At 52.0% G+C, this 22,330-nt stretch overlaps 1 protein-coding gene across 6 annotated transcripts in view, besides 4 other annotated features; it reads left to right on the forward strand.

The window, feature by feature from the left end:
- TNFRSF8 (TNF receptor superfamily member 8) overlaps positions 1 to 7,165 on the forward strand; it is an 80,905-nt gene extending 73,740 nt beyond the window's left edge. For 3 of the 6 annotated variants that reach the window (NM_001243.5, XM_047434793.1, XM_011542443.3), the window contains 2 exons: positions 1,187 to 1,394; positions 5,245 to 7,165. In NM_001243.5, coding sequence (NP_001234.3) covers positions 1,187 to 1,394; positions 5,245 to 5,489 — 453 coding nt within the window. In that variant the 3' untranslated portion in view covers positions 5,490 to 7,165. The remainder of the gene's footprint in view (positions 1 to 1,186; positions 1,395 to 5,244) is intronic. The other 3 variants (XM_011542441.4, XM_047434799.1, NM_001281430.3) reach the window with 1 other exon arrangement.
- Positions 8,157 to 8,246: an enhancer, noted in NCBI's record as "active region_203". NCBI's record gives its function as "activates an Ori minimal core promoter by ATAC-STARR-seq in GM12878 lymphoblastoid cells {active_cell/tissue: GM12878}" and the evidence as "EXISTENCE:reporter gene assay evidence [ECO:0000049][PMID:35858748]".
- Positions 8,307 to 8,366: an enhancer, noted in NCBI's record as "active region_204". NCBI's record gives its function as "activates an Ori minimal core promoter by ATAC-STARR-seq in GM12878 lymphoblastoid cells {active_cell/tissue: GM12878}" and the evidence as "EXISTENCE:reporter gene assay evidence [ECO:0000049][PMID:35858748]".
- Positions 9,447 to 9,526: an enhancer, noted in NCBI's record as "active region_205". NCBI's record gives its function as "activates an Ori minimal core promoter by ATAC-STARR-seq in GM12878 lymphoblastoid cells {active_cell/tissue: GM12878}" and the evidence as "EXISTENCE:reporter gene assay evidence [ECO:0000049][PMID:35858748]".
- Positions 11,380 to 11,509: an enhancer, noted in NCBI's record as "active region_206". NCBI's record gives its function as "activates an Ori minimal core promoter by ATAC-STARR-seq in GM12878 lymphoblastoid cells {active_cell/tissue: GM12878}" and the evidence as "EXISTENCE:reporter gene assay evidence [ECO:0000049][PMID:35858748]".

Here is a 22,330-nt window from a genome sequence, read left to right on the forward strand (position 1 = left end):
TCCGCAGTGTTTGTGTCCCTGGGTACTTGAGATTAGGGAGTGGTGATGACTCTTAGCGAGTGAAGAATACTCAGTTCTAAGCTGTGGTTCCTGGTAGAACAAACTTTATTTTTCTAGCTCAGCAGTGATCTGGAAGCTGAGGAATCTCAGCGCCTTTTAAAAGTTATTATGTGGTTTTGTTTTAAAAAGCTCCTGTTTTGGGAAAGTAGAATTTATGGGTATAACATATGTTCATTATTTGTACATAAAATAAAACCATTTAAAAAGTAAAAAATAATAATAATAATAATGGCAAAGACGTGATTACTTTTGCACCAATCTAAAAGATACGCCCTCTGTGCCTTGAGAATCATTGCGTCAGCACGGGCATCCCTGCCTCCTCTGAATTACTCACACTCACTCCATTTTGAAGGCATCAGGACATTTCATGAGGCCACTTCTTTGCCCTTACCTGTAAAAATCAAAAACTAAACTGACACTTTCCTCATGACATAGCTGTTTTTTTGTTTTTTTTTGTTTTTTTTTTGTTTTTTTTTTAGCATTTAGAAAATATTTATTAATAATATACATGAATTTAGATTATATAGTATAGAGGTCACCGGGCTTGTCACTTGAACTAACAGTAGTCTGTTTTTAGAATGCTTGAGTGTGATCATAAAAGACTACTTTCCAGGATGTCGGGGCTGGGGAGCTGGAGGGGCTGCTCCAGGAGGTGGGGGACCTGGAGCTGGTACTTACAGACTTGGGTGCTTATGAGTGTGGGTTATGGACCAGATGCCAGGGTTCAAATCCTAGCTCAGATACTTATTGATGGTATAACCCTGGGCCAATTACTCGACTCCTCTGTGCCTCAGTTTCCTCATCTGTAAAATGGGGAGTGGGCTGTTACCCACCTCATACAGTGGTTGTGAGGATTAACATATGTCAAGGACTTTAGGACAGGGCCAACGGACGTGGCGAGCACCCTGTGAGTCGCTGACTGTTACCCCTACTATTTAGTACAAATTAAAAGCAACAGACTTCACCCAGAAAGCTGAGAAGCCCGGGGCAGCTCATGGCAGCTTTTAAAGCAGAAAGGGGGACTCACTGGGGTCTGTAGAGATGAAAAAAAAAAGGGGCCTCCCAGTTCAGAGACTGGTGGGGAGGTTGGGGGTACCCTGCAGCAGCACCCATTCCCGTCCCACAGCAGCTGAGGAGTGGTGCGTCGGTGACAGAACCCGTCGCGGAAGAGCGAGGGTTAATGAGCCAGCCACTGATGGAGACCTGCCACAGCGTGGGGGCAGCCTACCTGGAGAGCCTGCCGCTGCAGGATGCCAGCCCGGCCGGGGGCCCCTCGTCCCCCAGGGACCTTCCTGAGCCCCGGGTGTCCACGGAGCACACCAATAACAAGATTGGTGAGTCAGCCTGTTTTGGGAGGTCCCCTGCAGCCCAGGGGCAGATGGGAGATGAATACGGGGCCCTGGGCCCTGGAAGGGACCTGGAGACCCTGGAGTTGAAAGGCCCAGGAAAGGAGAGGCATAGATTCTTCACCCCAATTGAAGTTTCTGTAAGTAGGGACAGCGAGGGTACTTACCTCGTAGGCCATTGTGCGGATTCATGAGCCAGTGTGCATGAGATGCCTGCTGTTACTCATAAAAAACGAACACCACCCCAGCCCCCAACACCGAGCACCCGAGGGGACAGGAGGAAGACGTGCCAGTGGTCACAGGACCTGCCACTTGTCTGGCGCATTCCGGGCACTGTGTAGGTGCCATCTCTTCATCTCTGATGGTCTCACCACCTTCTTTGGATGGTGTCTTTCTCCCCATTTTACAGTTGGGGAGACCGTGGCTCAGAGGGTGAAGTGATTTTCCCCATTGCATGGCTACTAAGTGGCACAGCTGGAACTCGTCCCGCATCTGCTGGGCCTTGAAGCCCGTGGTTTGTCCACGTTACCACCCACCCTCTGCAGAAGCAGGAGGACAGATGGGGCCCAGATGTTCAGAGCTTCCCAACGGCAGCTGCTGCCAGCCTGGACAGACATTGGCTTTGGCCTCCTGTGGGCCTCCCTGCCTCCTCTCTTGCTTCTCATCACCTTGGTACGGCATTTTCCCCAAAATGTATACCTGACCCTATTGCACTCCTGCCGAGAAGCCTCCAGCAGCTTCCCATTCCCTATGGGATGAATTCCAGCATTCTTATTCCAGCACTCAAGGCTGACAGCAAGTTGTAGCTCCCCGACCAGACTCACCTACCTTCTGACCCCACAGTCTGTCCCTCCCCCTCATGGCAGTCTCCCAAATTTACAGACCCCTCTGTCACTTCTGAGCTTCTCAATGGGAGCTACCCCCTCGCCTGAAATAGCCAACTCCACTGCCTTGAATCCAGTTAATTCTGGATATCCTGGGGACCCTGCTTATTTGCCCCTTCCTCCAGGAAGCCTTCTGTGCCCTCTCCACCATGCTATGCTCCCTAAGAACCCAGGCCTCCCCTACCCGGTGTCCTAGCACCCAGTGGTGTGACTGCGTGTTTATAGCCTTCCTCCACCTCCACCTGGCTTTGTGCTCCCTGTGGGCAGGGCCTTGGTGGACCCCACCTCTGTCGCTTCTGGAAGGGTAACTGGCACTGGGATAATACTGAAGAGTCATTTGTAATTGTCCTGTGCATTTCTATGGCAGACAGTGGTGGCCAGAACTCTTCAGGGCAGTCATCTTCTCTTTTTATTTTTTCAGCCTCCTGAGTAGCTGGGATTATGGGCGAGTGTCATCATGCCTGGCTAATTTTTTGTATTTTTAGTAGAGATGGGGTTTCACTCTGTTGGCCAGGCTGGTCTGGAACTCCTGGCCTCAAGGTGATCTGCCTGCCTTGGCCTCCCAAAGTACTGGGATTATAGGCATGAGCCACCATGCCCAGCCTGGGCAGTCTTTTGTAACAAACTGAAGCTTTTGAAATGGTAGCTTTTAGTAAGTTTTATTTGAAAAGTATGTATTTTGGGAAATACCATCAAAGGCTTCTTCAGAATTCCTAAGAAGTCCTAACTGGAACTTCTGAGTCCACACTGAGTACAGTGCCTGGAATCCCAGGGGTGGGGTTCAGAGGGTGTTTGATGGGGAGGAGAAGGAAGTACCAGGCTCCCAGGCAGCTGGCTCAGGTGTGGGCTGCCCTCCCCTGGCATGGCCTGCAGGCCTTGCTGGTGAGTGGATCGGGGGCCACCTCCGCCATGGTGGAAAGGGAAGGCCTTGGAGGTTCTCTTGGGCACCCAAGACACAGGCAACCCCCTTGTCCTCCTAATGCCAGCCCAGGGTAGCGTTCCCCCTTCCCATCCAGTTCCCAAGAGGGGTCACACTGGGGTCTGTACATCGTCCCTCTTCCCCTGGGAACCAGGCAAGGGAAGAACCCCTTTCCCCCCAACTTCCTCACCTGCCCTCCCCACATAGCCAAGATGAATTCCCTGGACTCTGGAGCTCTGGGGAGGGGGCAGGAAATCCATGCAGCCCTTGGAAGCCACCCCCACAGCCTGGGGAGTAGGCAGCCTGTGATGGGGGCAGAGCCAGAGCGGGGCAGACCCCTCATGGCCGGCTCTGAAGTTTCCAGACCCCTCTTTCACTTCCGAGCTCAGTGGGAGCTGCTTCCTCACCCAGAGCAGCCAATTCCACCGCTTTGAATCCAGTTAATTCCAGATTTCCTGGGGACTCCTGCCCATTTCCCTGAGGAATGTGAGGGGACCAGCCTGTCCCCAGCTGTGGCTCCTTCTCCCTAATCCAGCACCCCCACCCTCACTTCCCTCCCACCTGACCCCACCCGCCTCTCATCTTCTCTGCCCATCCCCCTCTGGGCCTTCTCTCCCCTCCTGGGGTCTCCTCTCTCACCACCCCCGGCCCCCATCTTTTGCCCAGCCCTCTATAGGGCTCCTAGGGCTGGGAGCCCACAAGCCTGATGGAGGTGTGGGGAGTGCTGAGGCCCTGCTCTGTTTTGGGGTCTGTGGGGGCGCCCAGCCCATAGCCTGTCCCGCACTCTGGGCCTTCTCCTCTTGCTGCCGTTTGGCGCACTTCTCTCTTTCCTGGGGGTGTTCAAAACCAGAATAGAAGAACCAGCGTCATGCAATAGGGTTGAGGGTGTGGGGGACTCGAGAACCTTTTTGGGGTTCCTGAATCCGAGGGGTATAACTGCATTACCCAGAAAGGCAGGGGTCCCTGCACCCCCACCCCACCCCAGCTCTCAAGTTCCCTCTTGAGCTTCCCCATTCTGGCCTCCAGAGTCCAGCGCAGAACAGCTGGGAGCCAGCCCACCCTGAGCCAGACACCATCAGCTGGGCGGAGGCCAGGCTTCCCCACTCCCCAGCTCCTCGGGCCACTGAACCTGAGCCCCCATGTCCCCTCTATCAGAAGGCCACACCAGAAGCCCCCACATCAGACTGTGGCGAGGACCGGCCCTCCGTCCAAGCTCCCACCATGTGCTCACAGCACAGCCATGCACGCTGCAGGCAGGAGACCGGCTGTGAGCAGTAAGCCCCGAAATTCACGGCCTGAGCCAGGCTGTCTCAATCATGGGCTGCCGAGACCTATTGAGGGGGCCGGGTTTTCTGCAGGATGTGACAGGCTGGCTGAGTTTGCCCGGACCGAGGGGACTCCCAGGACACGGGACTTGCAGTAGTAGAACCAGGAATGTTCCCGGGCAAGCTGGACAAGTTGGTCACCCCGGGTTTTGGCTGCAGGCACACAGATAGGAGCAGAAAGGGCCACCAGGCGGAGTGGGTGGTTTTTTTTTGGGGGATTTCTCCTAACTACGTGGCGACCTTGGGCAGGTCATTTAACCTCTCCAGGCTTCAGATTCTTACCTGTAAATGGGAATCTTGATGGGGTCCGCCTTGCAGGAGGGCTGGGGACCCAGGAGTGGGGGTGTGGAAACTGCTCAGCTCTGCTGTTTCTGCTCGTGCTCTGGTTACCCACGGCTTTGCCTGTTTTTGTCCACAGTTTGCTTTCTGTCCCACCCTGTCCTCTTCTTCCCTACCCATCCGCAGAGATGTGCTGAGAAAATCCTAAGTACAAGTGGGCTGGTTCTTAACTCCTCAAGGCCCAGCTCCTAGCTGTTCTATTTCCTCTGAGCCCCCAGGATGCCTGTAAGGTACATCAGAGAGGCTGTGCCATCAGCCTGAAGCCACCCGGCAGGTGTACCAGCACTGGGCCTCGGCCCTTCTCTGCCTCTTTGCTCCCATCCTGGCTGGTGCTCTGGCCTCCCTCGCTCACCCATCCTTTTGCCTTGCAGAGAAAATCTACATCATGAAGGCTGACACCGTGATCGTGGGGACCGTGAAGGCTGAGCTGCCGGAGGGCCGGGGCCTGGCGGGGCCAGCAGAGCCCGAGTTGGAGGAGGAGCTGGAGGCGGACCATACCCCCCACTACCCCGAGCAGGAGACAGAACCGCCTCTGGGCAGCTGCAGCGATGTCATGCTCTCAGTGGAAGAGGAAGGGAAAGAAGACCCCTTGCCCACAGCTGCCTCTGGAAAGTGAGGCCTGGGCTGGGCTGGGGCTAGGAGGGCAGCAGGGTGGCCTCTGGGAGGCCAGGATGGCACTGTTGGCACCGAGGTTGGGGGCAGAGGCCCATCTGGCCTGAACTGAGGCTCCAGCATCTAGTGGTGGACCGGCCGGTCACTGCAGGGGTCTGGTGGTCTCTGCTTGCATCCCCAACTTAGCTGTCCCCTGACCCAGAGCCTAGGGGATCCGGGGCTTGTACAGAAGAGACAGTCCAAGGGGACTGGATCCCAGCAGTGATGTTGGTTGAGGCAGCAAACAGATGGCAGGATGGGCACTGCCGAGAACAGCATTGGTCCCAGAGCCCTGGGCATCAGACCTTAACCACCAGGCCCACAGCCCAGCGAGGGAGAGGTCGTGAGGCCAGCTCCCGGGGCCCCTGTAACCCTACTCTCCTCTCTCCCTGGACCTCAGAGGTGACACCCATTGGGCCCTTCCGGCATGCCCCCAGTTACTGTAAATGTGGCCCCCAGTGGGCATGGAGCCAGTGCCTGTGGTTGTTTCTCCAGAGTCAAAAGGGAAGTCGAGGGATGGGGCGTCGTCAGCTGGCACTGTCTCTGCTGCAGCGGCCACACTGTACTCTGCACTGGTGTGAGGGCCCCTGCCTGGACTGTGGGACCCTCCTGGTGCTGCCCACCTTCCCTGTCCTGTAGCCCCCTCGGTGGGCCCAGGGCCTAGGGCCCAGGATCAAGTCACTCATCTCAGAATGTCCCCACCAATCCCCGCCACAGCAGGCGCCTCGGGTCCCAGATGTCTGCAGCCCTCAGCAGCTGCAGACCGCCCCTCACCAACCCAGAGAACCTGCTTTACTTTGCCCAGGGACTTCCTCCCCATGTGAACATGGGGAACTTCGGGCCCTGCCTGGAGTCCTTGACCGCTCTCTGTGGGCCCCACCCACTCTGTCCTGGGAAATGAAGAAGCATCTTCCTTAGGTCTGCCCTGCTTGCAAATCCACTAGCACCGACCCCACCACCTGGTTCCGGCTCTGCACGCTTTGGGGTGTGGATGTCGAGAGGCACCACGGCCTCACCCAGGCATCTGCTTTACTCTGGACCATAGGAAACAAGACCGTTTGGAGGTTTCATCAGGATTTTGGGTTTTTCACATTTCACGCTAAGGAGTAGTGGCCCTGACTTCCGGTCGGCTGGCCAGCTGACTCCCTAGGGCCTTCAGACGTGTATGCAAATGAGTGATGGATAAGGATGAGTCTTGGAGTTGCGGGCAGCCTGGAGACTCGTGGACTTACCGCCTGGAGGCAGGCCCGGGAAGGCTGCTGTTTACTCATCGGGCAGCCACGTGCTCTCTGGAGGAAGTGATAGTTTCTGAAACCGCTCAGATGTTTTGGGGAAAGTTGGAGAAGCCGTGGCCTTGCGAGAGGTGGTTACACCAGAACCTGGACATTGGCCAGAAGAAGCTTAAGTGGGCAGACACTGTTTGCCCAGTGTTTGTGCAAGGATGGAGTGGGTGTCTCTGCATCACCCACAGCCGCAGCTGTAAGGCACGCTGGAAGGCACACGCCTGCCAGGCAGGGCAGTCTGGCGCCCATGATGGGAGGGATTGACATGTTTCAACAAAATAATGCACTTCCTTACCTAGTGGCCCTTCACACAACTTTTGAATCTCTAAAAATCCATAAAATCCTTAAAGAACTGTAAGGCTGAGGACATGATCATCGAAATTGAGAGTATGTTATTAATAGAACCCCTGAGCAGAAGTGGCTTTGGGAGTCTCCCAGCAGGGCAGGAATTCCCACTGAACCCCCAGGCACTAAGGTGGCCAGTCTCTGGTAGATTGGATACTTCTGGGGCCGGGAGCCCACTTCCTGCTGGGGCAGTCCTTCTTGTTGCTGGAAGATTTTCCTTATCACTCGAGGCAAATTCTTTCTCCATGTAATTGCCGCTCCCTGGTCCAAAGGCTGCCCTTTGAGGACACTCAAAGCCACTGTCGGCCAGTTGCGGTGCCTCACCCCTGTAATCCCAGCACACTGGGAGGCCGAGGCGAGTGGATCACCTGAGGTCAGGAGTTCAAGACTAGCCTGGCCAACATGGTAAAACCCCGTCTCTGCTAAAAATATAAAAATTAGTCGGGTGTGGTGGCGGGCACCTGTAATCCCAGCTACTCAGGAGGCTGAGGCAGGAGAATCGCTTGAACCTGGGAGGTGGAGGTTGCAGCAGTGAGCCGAGATCGTGCCACTGCACTCCAGCCTGGGTGACAAGAATGAGACTCCGTCTCAAAAAAAAAAAAAAAAAAATGCCACTGTTGTCACAAGGCTCCCTTTAGGTATTCGAAGAAAGGTTTCTGGGCCTCCCCATGGCCTTCCTCCCTCTGGGCTGGGCCGGGCAGCCCCATAGCTTTGGAGAAGGGATTCTCCAAGGAACAGCGTGAGTGCCCAAGCCCTGGGAGGCAGGGGGAGGACCACAGGTATCTGGGATCCCTGGGAGGCAGGGTGAGGACCACAGGTATCTGGGAGTGTTGGGCTTCAGTGTCTGAGCTGGGAGGAGCCCAGCCTGCCTCCCTGGGCACAGCTTTGTGGCACTTTAGGGCCAGCCTCCACCCCAGGCAGCCAGCCTGAGGCCTCCTCTGACTGTCTCCTGTGCGAGGTGGAGAACACCCACAGCCACAGACAGACCCTGTCCACCCCATCCCCAAGACTCCAGCCCACACCCACACATCAGCCCAGCCATTGAACCAGCCATGCACTCAGTCCAGGAGCCAGGGTGGATTTCCCCATCCTGCCCAGCGATGAGCGGACCCCTTCTATTCTCTGGCTGTGCTCACGTCCAGGTTGGCAGATGGACAGAGCTCCCTGCTACTCAAGGTAGCAATTCTCAGGCTGTGACGACACCCCCACACACCTCTTCCTAAACATTTGCGATCAGAGAGGGACAGCAAGTGGTAAGTATCAGATGGAAGCTGTTGCCTTCAAAGAAAAGCCATTGTTTCCCAAGGCACTTTTGTAGGTGGTAAAAACCATTCTACAGTTCACAGAATCTCCACGGCTCGGGTCAGTCCCTAAAACGGAACGAGGGGACCTCCCTAGAGCGTCTCTCGCTCCATCACGACCTCACCCTCCAACAGTGAGGTGTAAAAGACCCAAGGCTGGGTCTTGGTCATCTTTGTCCCATGGTCACTGGGCACTGATTGGTTGGGCTAAGTAGAAATGAAAACCTGTGTGGGGATGAGAGGCGGCTCTCCAGCCACAGTTCCTCGGGTGCCTTCTCTCTTCCCCCCACTTCCTCGATCCTCTGCAGTGGGGGGGCAAGTGTGGGGTGGGGGTTGCTTGGGCCAGAATATGTGGGGACATCAGATTCACAGCCACGGCCCAAGAGAAAAGCTTAGTCAAGGCGAGACTGTTCAGCTTCAAGGGGGGCTCCTTGGGCTGAAGGAGAAGCTGCTGAGGACACCTCAGGCCCCTGCACCCTCCACCAGGCCCCTCTGCCAGGCACCTCCTCCTAAGCCAGCACCCCATGCTGGCCAAACACCCTGGAACCCTTGCCCCTGGCTGACCCAGGGGAGCAGGTGTTCAATGTTGGGGCCATGGGTGTGAGCCAGGCACAGGGCAGAGAGGCTTGCCTGCCATTCTCTGCAGCTCAGACACAACAGCAGCGTGCGGATGGTGATGGCGCTGCGGGGTCACACACAGGCTCGAATCCCAGCTCTGCCATTTATCAGTTGCATGAGCTTGGCTATGTTCCATGATCTCTTTCAGACTCAGTTTTCTTGTCTGTGAAATGGGGGTGTCAGTCTCTACCTGACGGGGTTGTGGGGCTTCCCTGACATGCCACTCGGTGTGTGGCTTGTGCTGAGTGGCAGGTTCTGTCCTTATTCCAGCCTGGTGGCCGCTTGTCAAGAGCGAGCCCTTCCTATGTCTGCAGAATTCAGCCCATCAAGGTTAATCAGAGCTTTCAGGCCAGCCTGGGAACCTAGCCACCCTTGGGGCCAACTTGCTGTGGGAAGCCCCGCAGTGGGCAGGCCTCTTCTTGTTCTGTGGGCTACCCCAAGAACCCTTCAGATCACAGTCATAGGACTGGCTCATTATTCGACGTCTGTAACTCTGGGCATGTCGGCGAAGTGCTGCGGGTCCCTCCGGAGGGACATCTCACTCGTGGTTCTAGCACATTCCAGATTGCACCACATTACTGTTCGAGGGCTTTCCTCAATTAAAGGGTCTAGCTGCTGAGGACTAGTGGGGCACAGACTTGCTCTCGTGGGTCCTGTGTCTGGTGGACGGGACAGACGGTGGCGTCATCAAATCAGTACACAAGGTCATTCCAGAGTCAGATCACGCTGTGAACCACAAGGAGTCTGAGCCAGGTACTGTGGCAGAGTGGGAGGGGAGGGCCACCACTAGCTAGGTGGTCAGGGCAAGCCTCTTTGAGAAGGTGCCCTTTGAACTTGGCCTGAGTGATGTCACAAGCCAGCGAGGTCTGGAAGGCAGGGAGCTGAAGTGGGCACACTCCTGCCTCGAGTTTCAGGAAGAACACAGTGGTGGAAGAGGCACGGTGGGCGAGGGAAAAAAGGAGGTGAGGGGGGAAGGCCTGGGGAGGAGGGCCTGGTGGGCCATTGTGATTAGGCACCTAGATTTTATCATAAAAGTACTGGTCTATGTTTCTTTCTGTTTTCTTCCTAGTAGAACAATAAACATCCTGGTATTATTTCAGCAATCAGTGAGAAAGGCCAAACCAGGGGCGGCAAAGGTTGTTTTAACCTATTTTGGAGGGAAGTTGGGGAAACAGGCAGCAGCTGCTGGCAGCCAGGAAGCAGTTAGATGGGTTTTCTCAGAAAGAACTAAGACAGCATTCCTGGTGATGATTGTAGCTATGGGTAGGGTTAGGAGTCTGCCGGTCTAGCTTCCCCCTTTCTCTGGGTATCTTCCAGAGAGTAAAAACCAAACTGAAAAACCCTGGGAAGCCTGGAGGCCTTTGTTTGTGTTTTGGTGTGGTGATTGTTTTCCCGGTCATGAGGCAGAGGGATCATTTCAGTATCACAGGGTCAGCGGTGGCCTGTGCTTTTTACCCTTTAGCCCTCATGGAGGCAGTGGCCATTTCATGACGGTGGCATGGAGCTGTGGCTTCCGGCTCGACAAGCTCCCAGCTGCTTGGTCCCAAGCAAAGCCCTTATGTGCGTTCAATGTGGGTTTTCTGGTCTGCAAAATGGACCTAATGGGGCCAGATGCGGTGGCTCACGCCTGCAATCCCAGCACTTTGGGAGGCCGAGGTGAGTGGGTCACTTGAGGTCAGGAGTTCGAGACCAGCCCGGGCAACATGGCAAAACCCCGTCTCGACTAAAAATACAAAAAGTAGCCAGGCATGGTGGCATATGCCTGTGATCCCAGCTACTTGGGAGGCTAAGGTGGGAGAATTGCTTGAACCTGGGAGGCGGAGGTTGCAGTGAGCCGAGATCGTGCCACTGCACTCCAGCCTGGGTGACAGAACGAGACTCTGTCTTCAAAAAAAAAAAGAAAAGGAACTATAAGGCTGAGAGGGACTGTGGAAGTCCAGTCTGGGCACGTATGCCATGTTCAGTAAATGACAGCCATCAAGAGCAGCATCTTAAGAGCTGAGAGTTCGCCTAGGCCGCATTCTTTGTACATCTGGGCTTCCTAATAGAACCCTGGACAGTAGATAGGCTGGGTGGCAGCACTCCCTTTTACAAACTGAGGCTCGGGGAGTGGGGGGGAGCGAAGCAACTGGCCCACTGCCACACAGCTGGGAAGTCCCAGAGCTGGAGTTCAACCCCCAACTTTGTGATTCTAAATCCCTCCCCATGCCCAGGTGGCCTGGCTGCCTCTGTGGTCAGGGGTTGTGTTCATATCGTGGTCATCCCCTGGCACTATGCCTTCTAGATAAGTTTCCTTTCATCTTCAAGTCACCACAACTGAGAGATAGAATAGAGGCTGATTTTATTCCTCCCTTTATGGGAAGGCAGGGACAGTTGCAAGAGGCAGGGTAACCTGCCCAAGGTCAAACTCCAGGCTGGGTGTGGCTTTCTGACTGCTCTGACCGGACAGGAAGGACACAGAGCTAACCCAGCCAGGGCCTCCTTCCTTGACACAGCTTTCCTCAAAGGTGTGTGTGATTTTTTTTTTCTTTCTTTCTTTCTTTCTTTTTTTTTTTTTTTTTTGAGACAGGGTCTTCCTCTGTCACCCAGGCTGGAATGCAGTGGCACAAATACAGCTCACTGTAGCCTCAACTTCCTGGGCTCACGTGATCCTCCTGCTTCAGCCTCCCGAGTAGCTGGGATCACAGGCACGTGCCACCATGACTGGCTAATTTTTTTTTTTCTTTCTTTGTAGAGACAGGTCTCTCTATGTTGCCCAGGCTGGTCTTGAATTCCTGGGCTCAAGCAATCTTCCTACCTTGGCTTCCCAAAGTACTGGATTACAGGCGTGTGATTCTGAGGTCCAGGGAGACTCGGGGCTGGGTTGAGTCCAGGGAATCTCTGGGGGAGAACTGCCTGAGAGTGGAATTGCCCTTTCCATCCCCAGTAACACCTCATATCCTGCTCACTGCCCCACCTGAGGCTCCCTGAAGGAAGACGATCAAGAACAAGCCTCCCATTTTACAGATGGGAAAACTGAGCCCCATAGAGGCAAAGCAGTTTTCCCAGGGTCCCAGCTTGGTGCTGTGTGATGGAGATAGCTCTAACTGTAGCTGTCAGTTGGGGCTGGGGTAGGGGAAAGTCACTGTCTAGTCCAAGGGAGCAGTAAAGATGACATGCTGATTTTCATTCTTCCTTTAAAGAAAAAATTGATGTTAAAAGTAACTGTGGTGAGAGGGTTGGGTTCTTACTTACAAGGCAGCTTTGCAAGAGTAAACAGAGTAGACAAAAATATCCCATCAGCTGGGCTTCTGCAGCTTCACAAGCTACTGATCCGTGCAGTCAGAGGGCCCCAGGTTCAGAAGGGCCCTGGGCTTGGTTTAATGCTCTGCTGTCGCCATCTTGAAAGTGATGAATAATTTTTGGCAAGGGGCCCTGTGTTTTCATTTTTCATGGAGTTCTACAAATTATGTAGCTGATCTTGCATGGGGGCAGGGAAATCGTTAATTCAGAATTCACTTAATGCCAAAGCATTTTACCTCCATTGTCATGTGACCTCAGAGGGACCTTATAGATGAGCACACATGTCCCCATTTTTAAGAAGTGTTAAATGACCAGTAACTGATGTAACTGTTCCAGTCATCTCTTGCTACATAACAAATCACCTCAAAACTTAATAGCTTAAAACAATGGTCATTAATTTTGCTCACAAATCTGCAATGTGGCCTGGACTTAGCAGGGGAGGTGCATCTCGGCTCACATAGTACCAGCGGGGGTGATGAGATGAGCTGGAGAATCCACCTCCAAGAGGGCTGGCAAATTGGTACTGGCTGTCAGTTTCTCTCTGTGGAGCTTCTTGGGCTTCCTCACAGCATGGCTGCTGGGTTCCTGGAGCCAACAACTCCGGGGGCAGGAAGTAGAAACTGCCAGCGTCATAAAATTTGACCCCGGAAACTGGCACTGCATCCCCTTTGCTGCATTCCAGGTAGTCACAGAGCCCAGACTCAAGGGGAGGGGACACAGATCCCACCCCTCATTAGGAGGAGTGTCAAAGAATCTCGAGATCTTATGTGTCAGCAGGAGCACTTCACATACTGTCTCATTTTAGCCTCTCGGTAATTTTGCCATTATTGTCCTTGGAGTTGGCTCAAGGAAGCTACATAACCTGGTGGAATCCCAAGTTCCTCTGGCTGGAATTTGGATCCAAGCTGGTCTGTCTCCAGAGTGTGAGCTCTGGACTGAGCAGCTGACCTGTGCATTCAGGGACCCATACAGTCAGAATGTGGCAGGACTGGAAAGCAAGCTCACATCTGTCTGATTAGAGAACATCTGAGCTTGGTACCCATACAAACTAGGCCCTATCTAGTTTTTAGATAGGGAAATCAAGGCTCTGAGAGGTCTTGCCAGGCCTCTCCTGAGGAAGAGGGCAGGGTCTGGGACCTTCCAGGGCAGGATGGGGCCCCCAACTTGGGTTGCACAGAACCATGTCAGGAAGTCACATAGAGTTGTGGGTAGATTATGCAAGTACAGGCTGTCAGGAGGGATGTTGTTTTTCACTGCAATTACACTTCACTCAGGAAATACAGCTTCTGCACGTACTGAGGGAGGGTTCCTCACCCTGTGCAGAAGACCTCCTGGTGAATACCGGGGCACTCGCTGGGTGACCCTGGGTCCTCTGGGCCAAGTTCATGCATCGAAAGTTCCCTGAGAAGCTCTTTGTGCCCATCTGGGTTGGGCTTTGACAATAGAGTTGAAGAGGCTTTATTCCTGCCATGCATGGAGTCACAGGTTAGTAAGAAAGATGATAAGAGCTGTACTTGAGGCTTTCGTGTGCTCTCACTTAAACCTCACAGTGCACTAGGAAGTAGTTATTACATTACCCCTATGTTACAGATGAGGAAACCAACACGCAGAGTGGCTAAGCCAGTTCCCCAGGGTCACACAGCTGCTAAGTGGCGCAGCTAGGCTTTGAACCCAGGCCACCTGGCTGGAGTCTGCGTCCTCACACACTTGGCCATGCTGCTCCATTGTGGCTCAGGCCGAGGTCACCACTGTGCTGAGGCCCCAGCCCTGAGTCCCAGACCCTGTAGAACACTGTGCAGGCATCCATGGGGCTCAGTGAATGCACAGGGAATGGAATTTGCTCTTGGTTTTTATCCCACCTTTCCTTTCCAAAGCCCAGCTGTGGCCAGGCCTCTCCCTCACAGAACCTTCTATGACTCCCTAGTGCCTACATGCCAATGTCTGCCAATCCAGCTTTGCTGCTACCTCCACAGCTCCCATATCTAAACCTCTCCTGAGACCCGACTGTTTCCGCTCAGTCACCAAATACAGAGGGCATATCCTCATCATGAAATCTCTGCTCAGCGCTCCAACCCCTGAATTTCCAACCTCATCTTTCTCCTCCTCCTCCAAAAACCCTTCCAGGACACCCAGGCCCAGGACCTCCAAGCTCCCACAGCACTGACTGTGAAGGGGGACTGGAGGCCAAGTTCTAGAAGTCTTGCAAAAAATATCTCTGAAGAAATGCATTCATTCATTCATACAGCCACTCATTTAGTCACTCAAGCAACAGATCTGTATGTAACACCTACTATGTGTTGGGCACTGTGCTTGGCGCTGGGGAACACAGTGAAGTGGGGCAGTGGCGGGGATATACAGTACTGCTCTCAGGGAGTCACAGTCCAACTGGGAGACCAACCTAGAGTCTGGTCATGGCCTAGAGCATGATATTTGCTTTGATGGAGAGCAGCTTGGGGTTCATGACCCTAGTGGATGGCACCTAGCCCAGATGGAGGCAGGTCTCTGCTTTCCCCTCTGTAGAATGGGTTTAATAAGAGCACCTACCCCAAAGAGATGTTGTAAGGATTAATTTCATCCATTAATTTGTTCAATAAATATTTGTCAAGCTCAAACTCCGTGCTGGGGTGCTGGGGACACACAGCCCTGCCCTCTGCAGAGTGACAAGAAAGAGTATTTGGGATAACATTGGCTGGTGGTAATTGCTGTAAAGAAAAAAAGAAAGTGGTGTGTAGGCCCTCAGTGTGGTGAGGTGTGTAGCCAGGGCTTGGGGATGTAGCACCTGCTGTACAAAGGTCTGGGAGAATGTAGCGATTCAGGGTGTGCAGGGGGAAGTGAGTAGTTATGATCATGAGTCTGTGGTAGACATCGCCCCATCCTTGCATTTGCATCTCTAGGTTTCTACAGAAGAAAGGGGGCAAGGTGATGGAGAGAATTTCATGGGCGGAAATTGTTCTACAGGAGCTGGGGAGGTAGGCTGGCAGGGCTGAGCCGGCTACTTGGTGGGAGGTTGCAACAGCCTCAGGACGGGTGGAGGACTGCAGGGGAACTGGAGCCCAAGGGGGTTTCCTTCCAGGGTGAAGGGGAAAAGCAAGGCTGGGCACTTTGGGAACTTCTCAGGGAAACCCTCTCCTGTACCCTAGGGGACCTGGGCTCCATTCTGGAAAGGCAGAATACATGACCTCCATCACGTTTTGGGTCTGCACTCATTAAGCACTTACTAGATGCCAGGCACTGTAGAGTCTCCATCTCAGATCCTTACAGCACCCCTGTAAAGCAGAGGCTATTTATCCCCATTCTACAGATGAAGAAATGGAGGCTCAGGGAGGTAAAGTGATTTGTCCAAGGTCATGGTTGCGTACCAGTCAATGGCCTGAACAGAGACTTGAACCCAGGTCTAGGTGATGGCAAAGTTGATGCTATTTCTCCTTTTGATATACCCCAACTGTCTAAAGCAGCCCTTTTTTTTGCTAGGCTTCTTGGTGTTTGAAAATTTACCACTCATTCCTAGGAGCTAAAGGTTCCTGGGTTCCTCCTTGGGGCACATGTCTAGGAGCAGGATCTCGATCTGGTGGCAGAGGGGCAGCAGCTGCTCCGTCTGGCATACAGTAGGTGCTCAGTAAGTCTGCGGGGCAGGCAGGACAAGCCTGGGTTGGAAGGAGGTCCAGTTTCTTGGGAGTGAGAGCCTCAAGACCAACTTCACCTGAAGGACAAATGAGAGGTGGCCGAATCACTGCCAGCTACTTCAAGAAGCCCCTAGGACACTCCAGCCAAGGTGCCTTGGTCCCTTTTCTAAGTCGCCTGCCCACCCTGCCCAAGCTCCTGCGGGGAGTGTGCCCACTGTGACTCATCCACGCCCAGCCCTGCCCAGCTCTCACTGGGGCAGCAGTAGGCACACATACTCGTAAAAGTCTGAATAAGTGAAGACTGGGAAATTGCACCAGGGAAAAACTACTTATTTCTTCCTCTTTTGAATTGGGGAGGGGAAATGTTGCGGGGGAAATGAGGTCAGTGACGTGGTGAGCATTTCATGCTCCTTACTGATGAGCAGAGGGCCGGTATCACGTGCTGCCTTCCTAGGGAGGGCTGGGTAGTGCGTCAAGGAAATGGGCCCAGAGCTGTGTCTCGTCCAGTCTAGCAGGAAACTGCCCATCTCACTGTGTCACTCCCTTCTCTGTCCTTGCTCTAAGCCTCTACCCTGACTGCCCTTGCTCTGAGCTGAAATCTCACTAATGAGAAAAAAATGTGCTGGTTTATGCCTCTGTGGGCTGGCTGGGCTGGTAGGTCCCAGGGGGCAGCATGGCCTGGAGGAAACCGAGTGCACGGGGCAAGGATGATGTGCACGAGTGGTATGTGACTCCCAGGGCTCACAGCCTCATGCAGCCCCTCCCTCTGAGAGTATAGATGGGGAAACTGAGGCCTGAGAAGGCGAGAGATGTGCCTGAGGTCACACAGAGAATCCGTGGCCCTCAGCACAAGCACCCAGTTTGCTGGTACTTTAAAGATAAAAATAAACAAACTTTATAAATGGAAAAGATGAATAAAAGAAGAAACGAAGTATAAGGAATATGATAAATATAATAAAAATTACACACAATCTTGGCGAGGCACAGTGGCTCATGCTAGTAATCCTAACACTTTGGGAGGCCCAGATGGGCAGATCATTTAAGGTCAGGAGTTCAAGACCAGCCTGGCCAACATGGTGAAACCCCATCTCTACTAAAAATACAAAAATTAGTTGGGCATGGTGGTGCGCGCCTGTGGTCCCAGCTACTTGGGAGGCTGAGGCACGAGAATCACTTGAACCCAGCAGGCGGAGTTTGCAGCAAGCTGAGATCACGCCACTGCACTCCAGCCTGGGTGATGCAGCCAGACCAAGACCTTGTAACAACAACAACAAAAGTAAAACAATCAGTATTCCTTAAAAAAAAAAAAAATTGCACACAATCCCATCATCCATGAAACTCCTTTAAACATTTTGGTTTCTTCCCTCCTTTCTGAGTAGTTTTTTAAAATTATCTTCAATCATTTATTTATTTATTGTATTTTCTTTCTTTCTTTTTTTCTTTTTTGAGACGGAGTCTCGCTCTGTCATCCAGGCTGGAGTGCAGTGGCGTGATCTCGGCTCACTGCAAGCTCCGCCTCCCGGGTTCACGCCATTCTCCTGCCTCAGCCTGCTGAGTAGCTGGGACTACAGGCGCCCGCCACCATGCCCGGTTAATTTTTTTTTTTTTTTTTGTATATTTAGTAGAGATGGGGTTTCACCGTGTTAGCCAGGATGGTCTCGATCTCCTGCCCTCATGATCCACCCACCTCGGCCTCCCAAAGTGCTGGGATTACAGGCGTGAGCCACCTGCGCCCGGCCCTATTTATTGAATTTTCTAGAGATAGGGTCTTGATCTATTGCCCTAGAGCTGGGATCTAGATCCAGAGAACCAGCAATCTGAGAAAGCTGTTACCTCTCCAGCCTAAGATTTCATTTGAAAGCGTTTCATGGCTGGAAGTGTCTTTGAGAATCTTTGGTTTAGCTCATTCCAGTGCTTTTTCTCCAATGCCAGACCACCTGCAGCCAGGGCAAGAGAACCCCGTGGGCTGGAGAGATCCTGGAGGGCGTTAAGGAGGCAGTGGGGTTGCAGCTGAGCCATTAAAGACGACAATTCAGCATCAGGAATGGGAAGGGGTCCTGTTTCATTGTGGGGGATTGTTTGTATCTGAACTGCCTGGGGGTCTAGGTGGGAGACCTCTGGGGAGGGCTTTGGAGGAAGCATCTGGGGAAGGTGAGGTGAAGACAGGCTCAGGAAAGCTGTTTGCCTTAGGAGAGGCCAGAGGGAGATAGGACAGGTGAGGCCTTTGCAGCCTGGCTGGGCTGCCGGCAGACCTAGGGCTGGCTGGCTCAGGGTGAGCATAGACTGCCGGTGATGGAGCAATGGAGGATGGAGCTAGAGGCTCCTGATAATTCACCCTTTTCCAAGGGCCAGCCCTGGAGAAAGGCTTGTGTTCAGAGCGCATGAAGAACCCCAGGTTCTCCCTCTGTGAAGTGGAACCTCTTTGTGTTGAGTGACACAACTGCACTAGCAGTGCTTGCCTTGGGGCCTGGCAAATCCTTCATGAAACAGAGGTTTGAGATTATAATGAGATTTACTGTAGAGAGATGTGTCCTGTTTTCTGTGTCTGCACTCTGCTGGCTGTGTGGACTGGGGGGAGTTGCTTAAAGTGGTCTATAAAATAGAATGATCAGGCCCTGCCACTGGGCTTGCCTGGAGTTAGTGTGAATGTCAAATGGGGGCCTAGGTAGGGAGGTGACAGGTTAGGGAGGGACGCTGACACCTTTCATCCCTGCCACACCTGAACACCCAGAGAAAAGTGAAAACTATTAAAAGACACAAAGAAGCTCTGAACAGATGAAGCGTATGCCATGTTCGTGGATGGGATAAATTAATGTTGCACAGATGTCAGTTCTCCCAATTCACCTATCAACTCAGTGAAATCTCAATTAAATCACAGCTGGAGTTGTGCAAATGGATTTAAACATGTATGTGGAAGAGGCCGGGCACAGTGGCTCATGCCTGTAATCCAAGCACTTTGGGAGGCTGAGGCGGGTGGATCACGAGGTCAAGAGATCAAGACCATCCTGGCCAAAATGGTGAAACCCCATCTCTACTAAAAATACAAAAATTAGCTGGGTGTGGTGGCGCACGCCTGTAGTTCAGCTACTCAGGAGGCTGAGGCAGGAGAGTTGCTTGAACCTAGGAGGTGGAGGTTGTGGTGAGCTGAGATCGCGCCATTGCACTCCAGCCTGGGCAACAAGAGAGAGACTCTGTCTCAAAAAAAAAAAAAAAAAAAGGTATGAGGGAGCATAAAAACCAAATATAATTTAGTCCATTTTGAAAACAGAGTGCAAACAAGGGAAATTCACTCTACCAAATACTAAATGTTCTCTAAAGCTATAATAATAAAAACCATACGAAACTAGCCCAGGAACAAAAGGCCAGTGGAACAGAATAGATCGTTCAGCGATAGACCCAGGTACTTACGATAAAGAATGAAGGGATGGACTCTTGGGCTGATGGGGTTGGAAAGACTGGCTCATTCTATGGAGAGAAATAAAGGTGGCTCCCTAAACCTTACACCCCATATACAATCCTGATTATTAAAGACTTGGATGTGAGATGGAAAATTATAAAGCTAGTGAAAGAAAATATAGAAAAGTGGCCATGCATGGTGGCTCACGCCTGTAATTTCAGCATTTTGGGAAGCCGATGTGGGTAGATCGCTTGAGCCTAGGAGTTCAAGACCAGCCTGGGCAACATGGCGAGACCCCATCTCTACAAAATATACAAAAATTAGCTGGACATGGTGGTGTGTACCTGTGGTCCCAGCTACTCGGGAGGCTGAGGTGGGAGGATGGCTTGAGCCTGGGAGGCAGAGGTTGTAGTGAGCTGTGATCGTGCCACTGCACTCCAGCCTGGGCGACAGAGTAAGATCCTGTCTCAAAAAACAAAAATAAAAAAATAAAAATAAAAAAGAATAGACTGTTCAGTGACAGAACCAGGTATTTATGATAAAGAATAAAGGGATGGACTGTTTGGCTGATGGTTTAGGAAAAACTGGCTCACTCTATGGACAGAAATAAAGGTTAGTCTCCAGACTTTATACTCCATATACAGTCTCAGTGTATTAAAGACCTAGACATGAGATGGAAAATTATAAAGCTAATGAAAGAAAAATATAAAAAAGTATCTTCATAACCTATGAGTAGCTCTACCTATAGGTCATGATGATACTTTTCTATATTTTCTTTCATTACCCATAAGTAGGGAATTCAAATGCAATTCAAATGGCGAAACATTGATGGATTCCATTGCATTAAAATTAAGAATTTTTTTGCCAACAATAAAGGACACCATCAGCAAGGATACCAAATAGGCGACAGAGTGGAGGAAGTATTTGTGATATCTAAAAATGACAAGGGATTGATATCTAGCGCATGCAAGGAATTATTGCAAAGCTACAAGAAAAAGACAGGAAATAATAGAAATATGGTCAAAGGATGTGAATAGGCAGTTCACAGAAGGGAAAACCCAAATGACTAACAAGTAATGAAGAGGTGCTCAAACCCACGGATATTCAGAGAAATGCAAATGAAATGACACCGGGCTCCACTTCACACCCATCAGATCGGCCCAAATCAGAACATTGGCTAATCACGAGTGTGGGGGCAAGAGAGTGGTAGAAACCCTATAGTCCTGACAGTGGTGGCATCACTGGGGTGGTCATCCTGGAGAAATTCTCTCTTTTCTTTTTTAAAAACCAGCTTCTACATCAAGAACACAGTCCTGGAGAAATTTCTGGCAGTGTTAGTGAAATAGGTAAACAAATACTCCCCGATCCAGCAGTCCTACTCCAGAGAAATTCAAACACCTGCAAACGCCACCACATGTTTTATAAGGACACACTGATTGTTGGAGAGGTGCAGAGGAGGATGAGAACAGGGATTGAGGAAAAAAATCAGGCCAGAGAGGAACCTTGTACAGCAAGATCTGTGCAGTATGATTCACTCAACTCTCTGTACCTGAGGTCCAAAATATGAGAGTGAGAGAGAAGTTACGAAAAAAAAAAAAAAAAAAAAGATTCCATTCAGACCCGCCCCCAAATTTTGAAATACCTAAGGTTTATTGACAAAAAAGAGGAAGGGGGTGGGAGGAGGAGGGACCAGATGAGGGGAATCACGTTCCTCCCCAGGCCAGAGTGGCCTTGTTTGTAAAGAGGAAAAGAGGGGAACTCAGGGCCAGTGGGGAAACTGAGGCCAGAGTTCATAGGATATATGGTGGAAAGGCAGCTGTTGCTTATGTTTGAGACTTTGTCTAGAAAATTGTGGTCCACAGATGGCTCCAGCTGCTACTTGGAGAGACCAGTGAAATGGGGAGGTTTTGGTGGGGTGTGGGTTTTGGAAAGTGGGGGTTGGGGAAGGGGGACAGAGAGTGGGTTTGGAGGGGTTACGGGTTGGGAGTTAGAAGTGGAGAGACCAGGATCCTGGAAAGGGTAACACTCACTTGGCAGGGCCACGATGAGGCTGAAAGAATTGAAAAGAATTGAAAGGGAGAATTGAAAGCCCTTTGAAAATACAAAGGGCTGTAAAAGGAAACCCACTGACAAGATCAAACGCCCCCCGCCCCGCTGCAGATGTGGGGATTGGGACTCTCACACGCTGCTGGCAGGAGTGTCCAGGGTGCAGCCCCCTGAGAGGAATTTGGCAGGGCCCCGTGAAAATGAAAACATGCAAACCCACGGCCTGCCACTGCCCAGCAGTTCTACTTTCCAGGTTTAAGACCTTGAGAAACATTCAACCTTGGGCATTGGGAGACAGATGCAGGAACGCGCATCTCAGTGTGTGCAGTGGAGCCAAAGTGCAAACACCCCAAAGGCCCATTCCAGGGGAGCGGGGCAGCAAGGTGTGAGACAGGCACCGGGCAGGCGCAGCACCGAGTAGCAGCAGCAGCAGGTAGAAACAATAAGCGGATCTGAACTCATCAATATGGAAAGTTCTCAGAAACACAGCCGAGGGGAAAAAAGCAAGGGGCAGGACGGCGCACCTGGTGTTTCATCGTTTGTGTAGATGTAGACGCGTGTATCTAGAATAACACTCTACATTGGTGTGTGGAAGCAGAAAACGGACTGGTGAGAAACACCACAAACCCAGAGGAATTGCTCTTTTGGGGGCTGAATCAAGGGGACTACAACTTTGGCTGGGTGTCAAGGATTTCCATTTGAATTATAAAAGTATTTGAAGCAAAAAATAATCAACATATGTTTACTGAGAGCCTACTATTTTTTTTTAAATATCTAATTGAAGGCCGGGCGAGGTGGCTCACGCCTGTAATCCCAGCACTTTGGGAGGCCGAGGCGGGCGGATCACGAGGTCAGGAGTTCGAGACCAGCCTGACCAACATGGTGAAACTCCGTCTCTACCTAAAAATACA

Source organism: Homo sapiens, chromosome 1 (assembly GCF_000001405.40).
Source record: "Homo sapiens chromosome 1, GRCh38.p14 Primary Assembly".
NCBI lineage: Eukaryota > Metazoa > Chordata > Mammalia > Primates > Hominidae > Homo > Homo sapiens.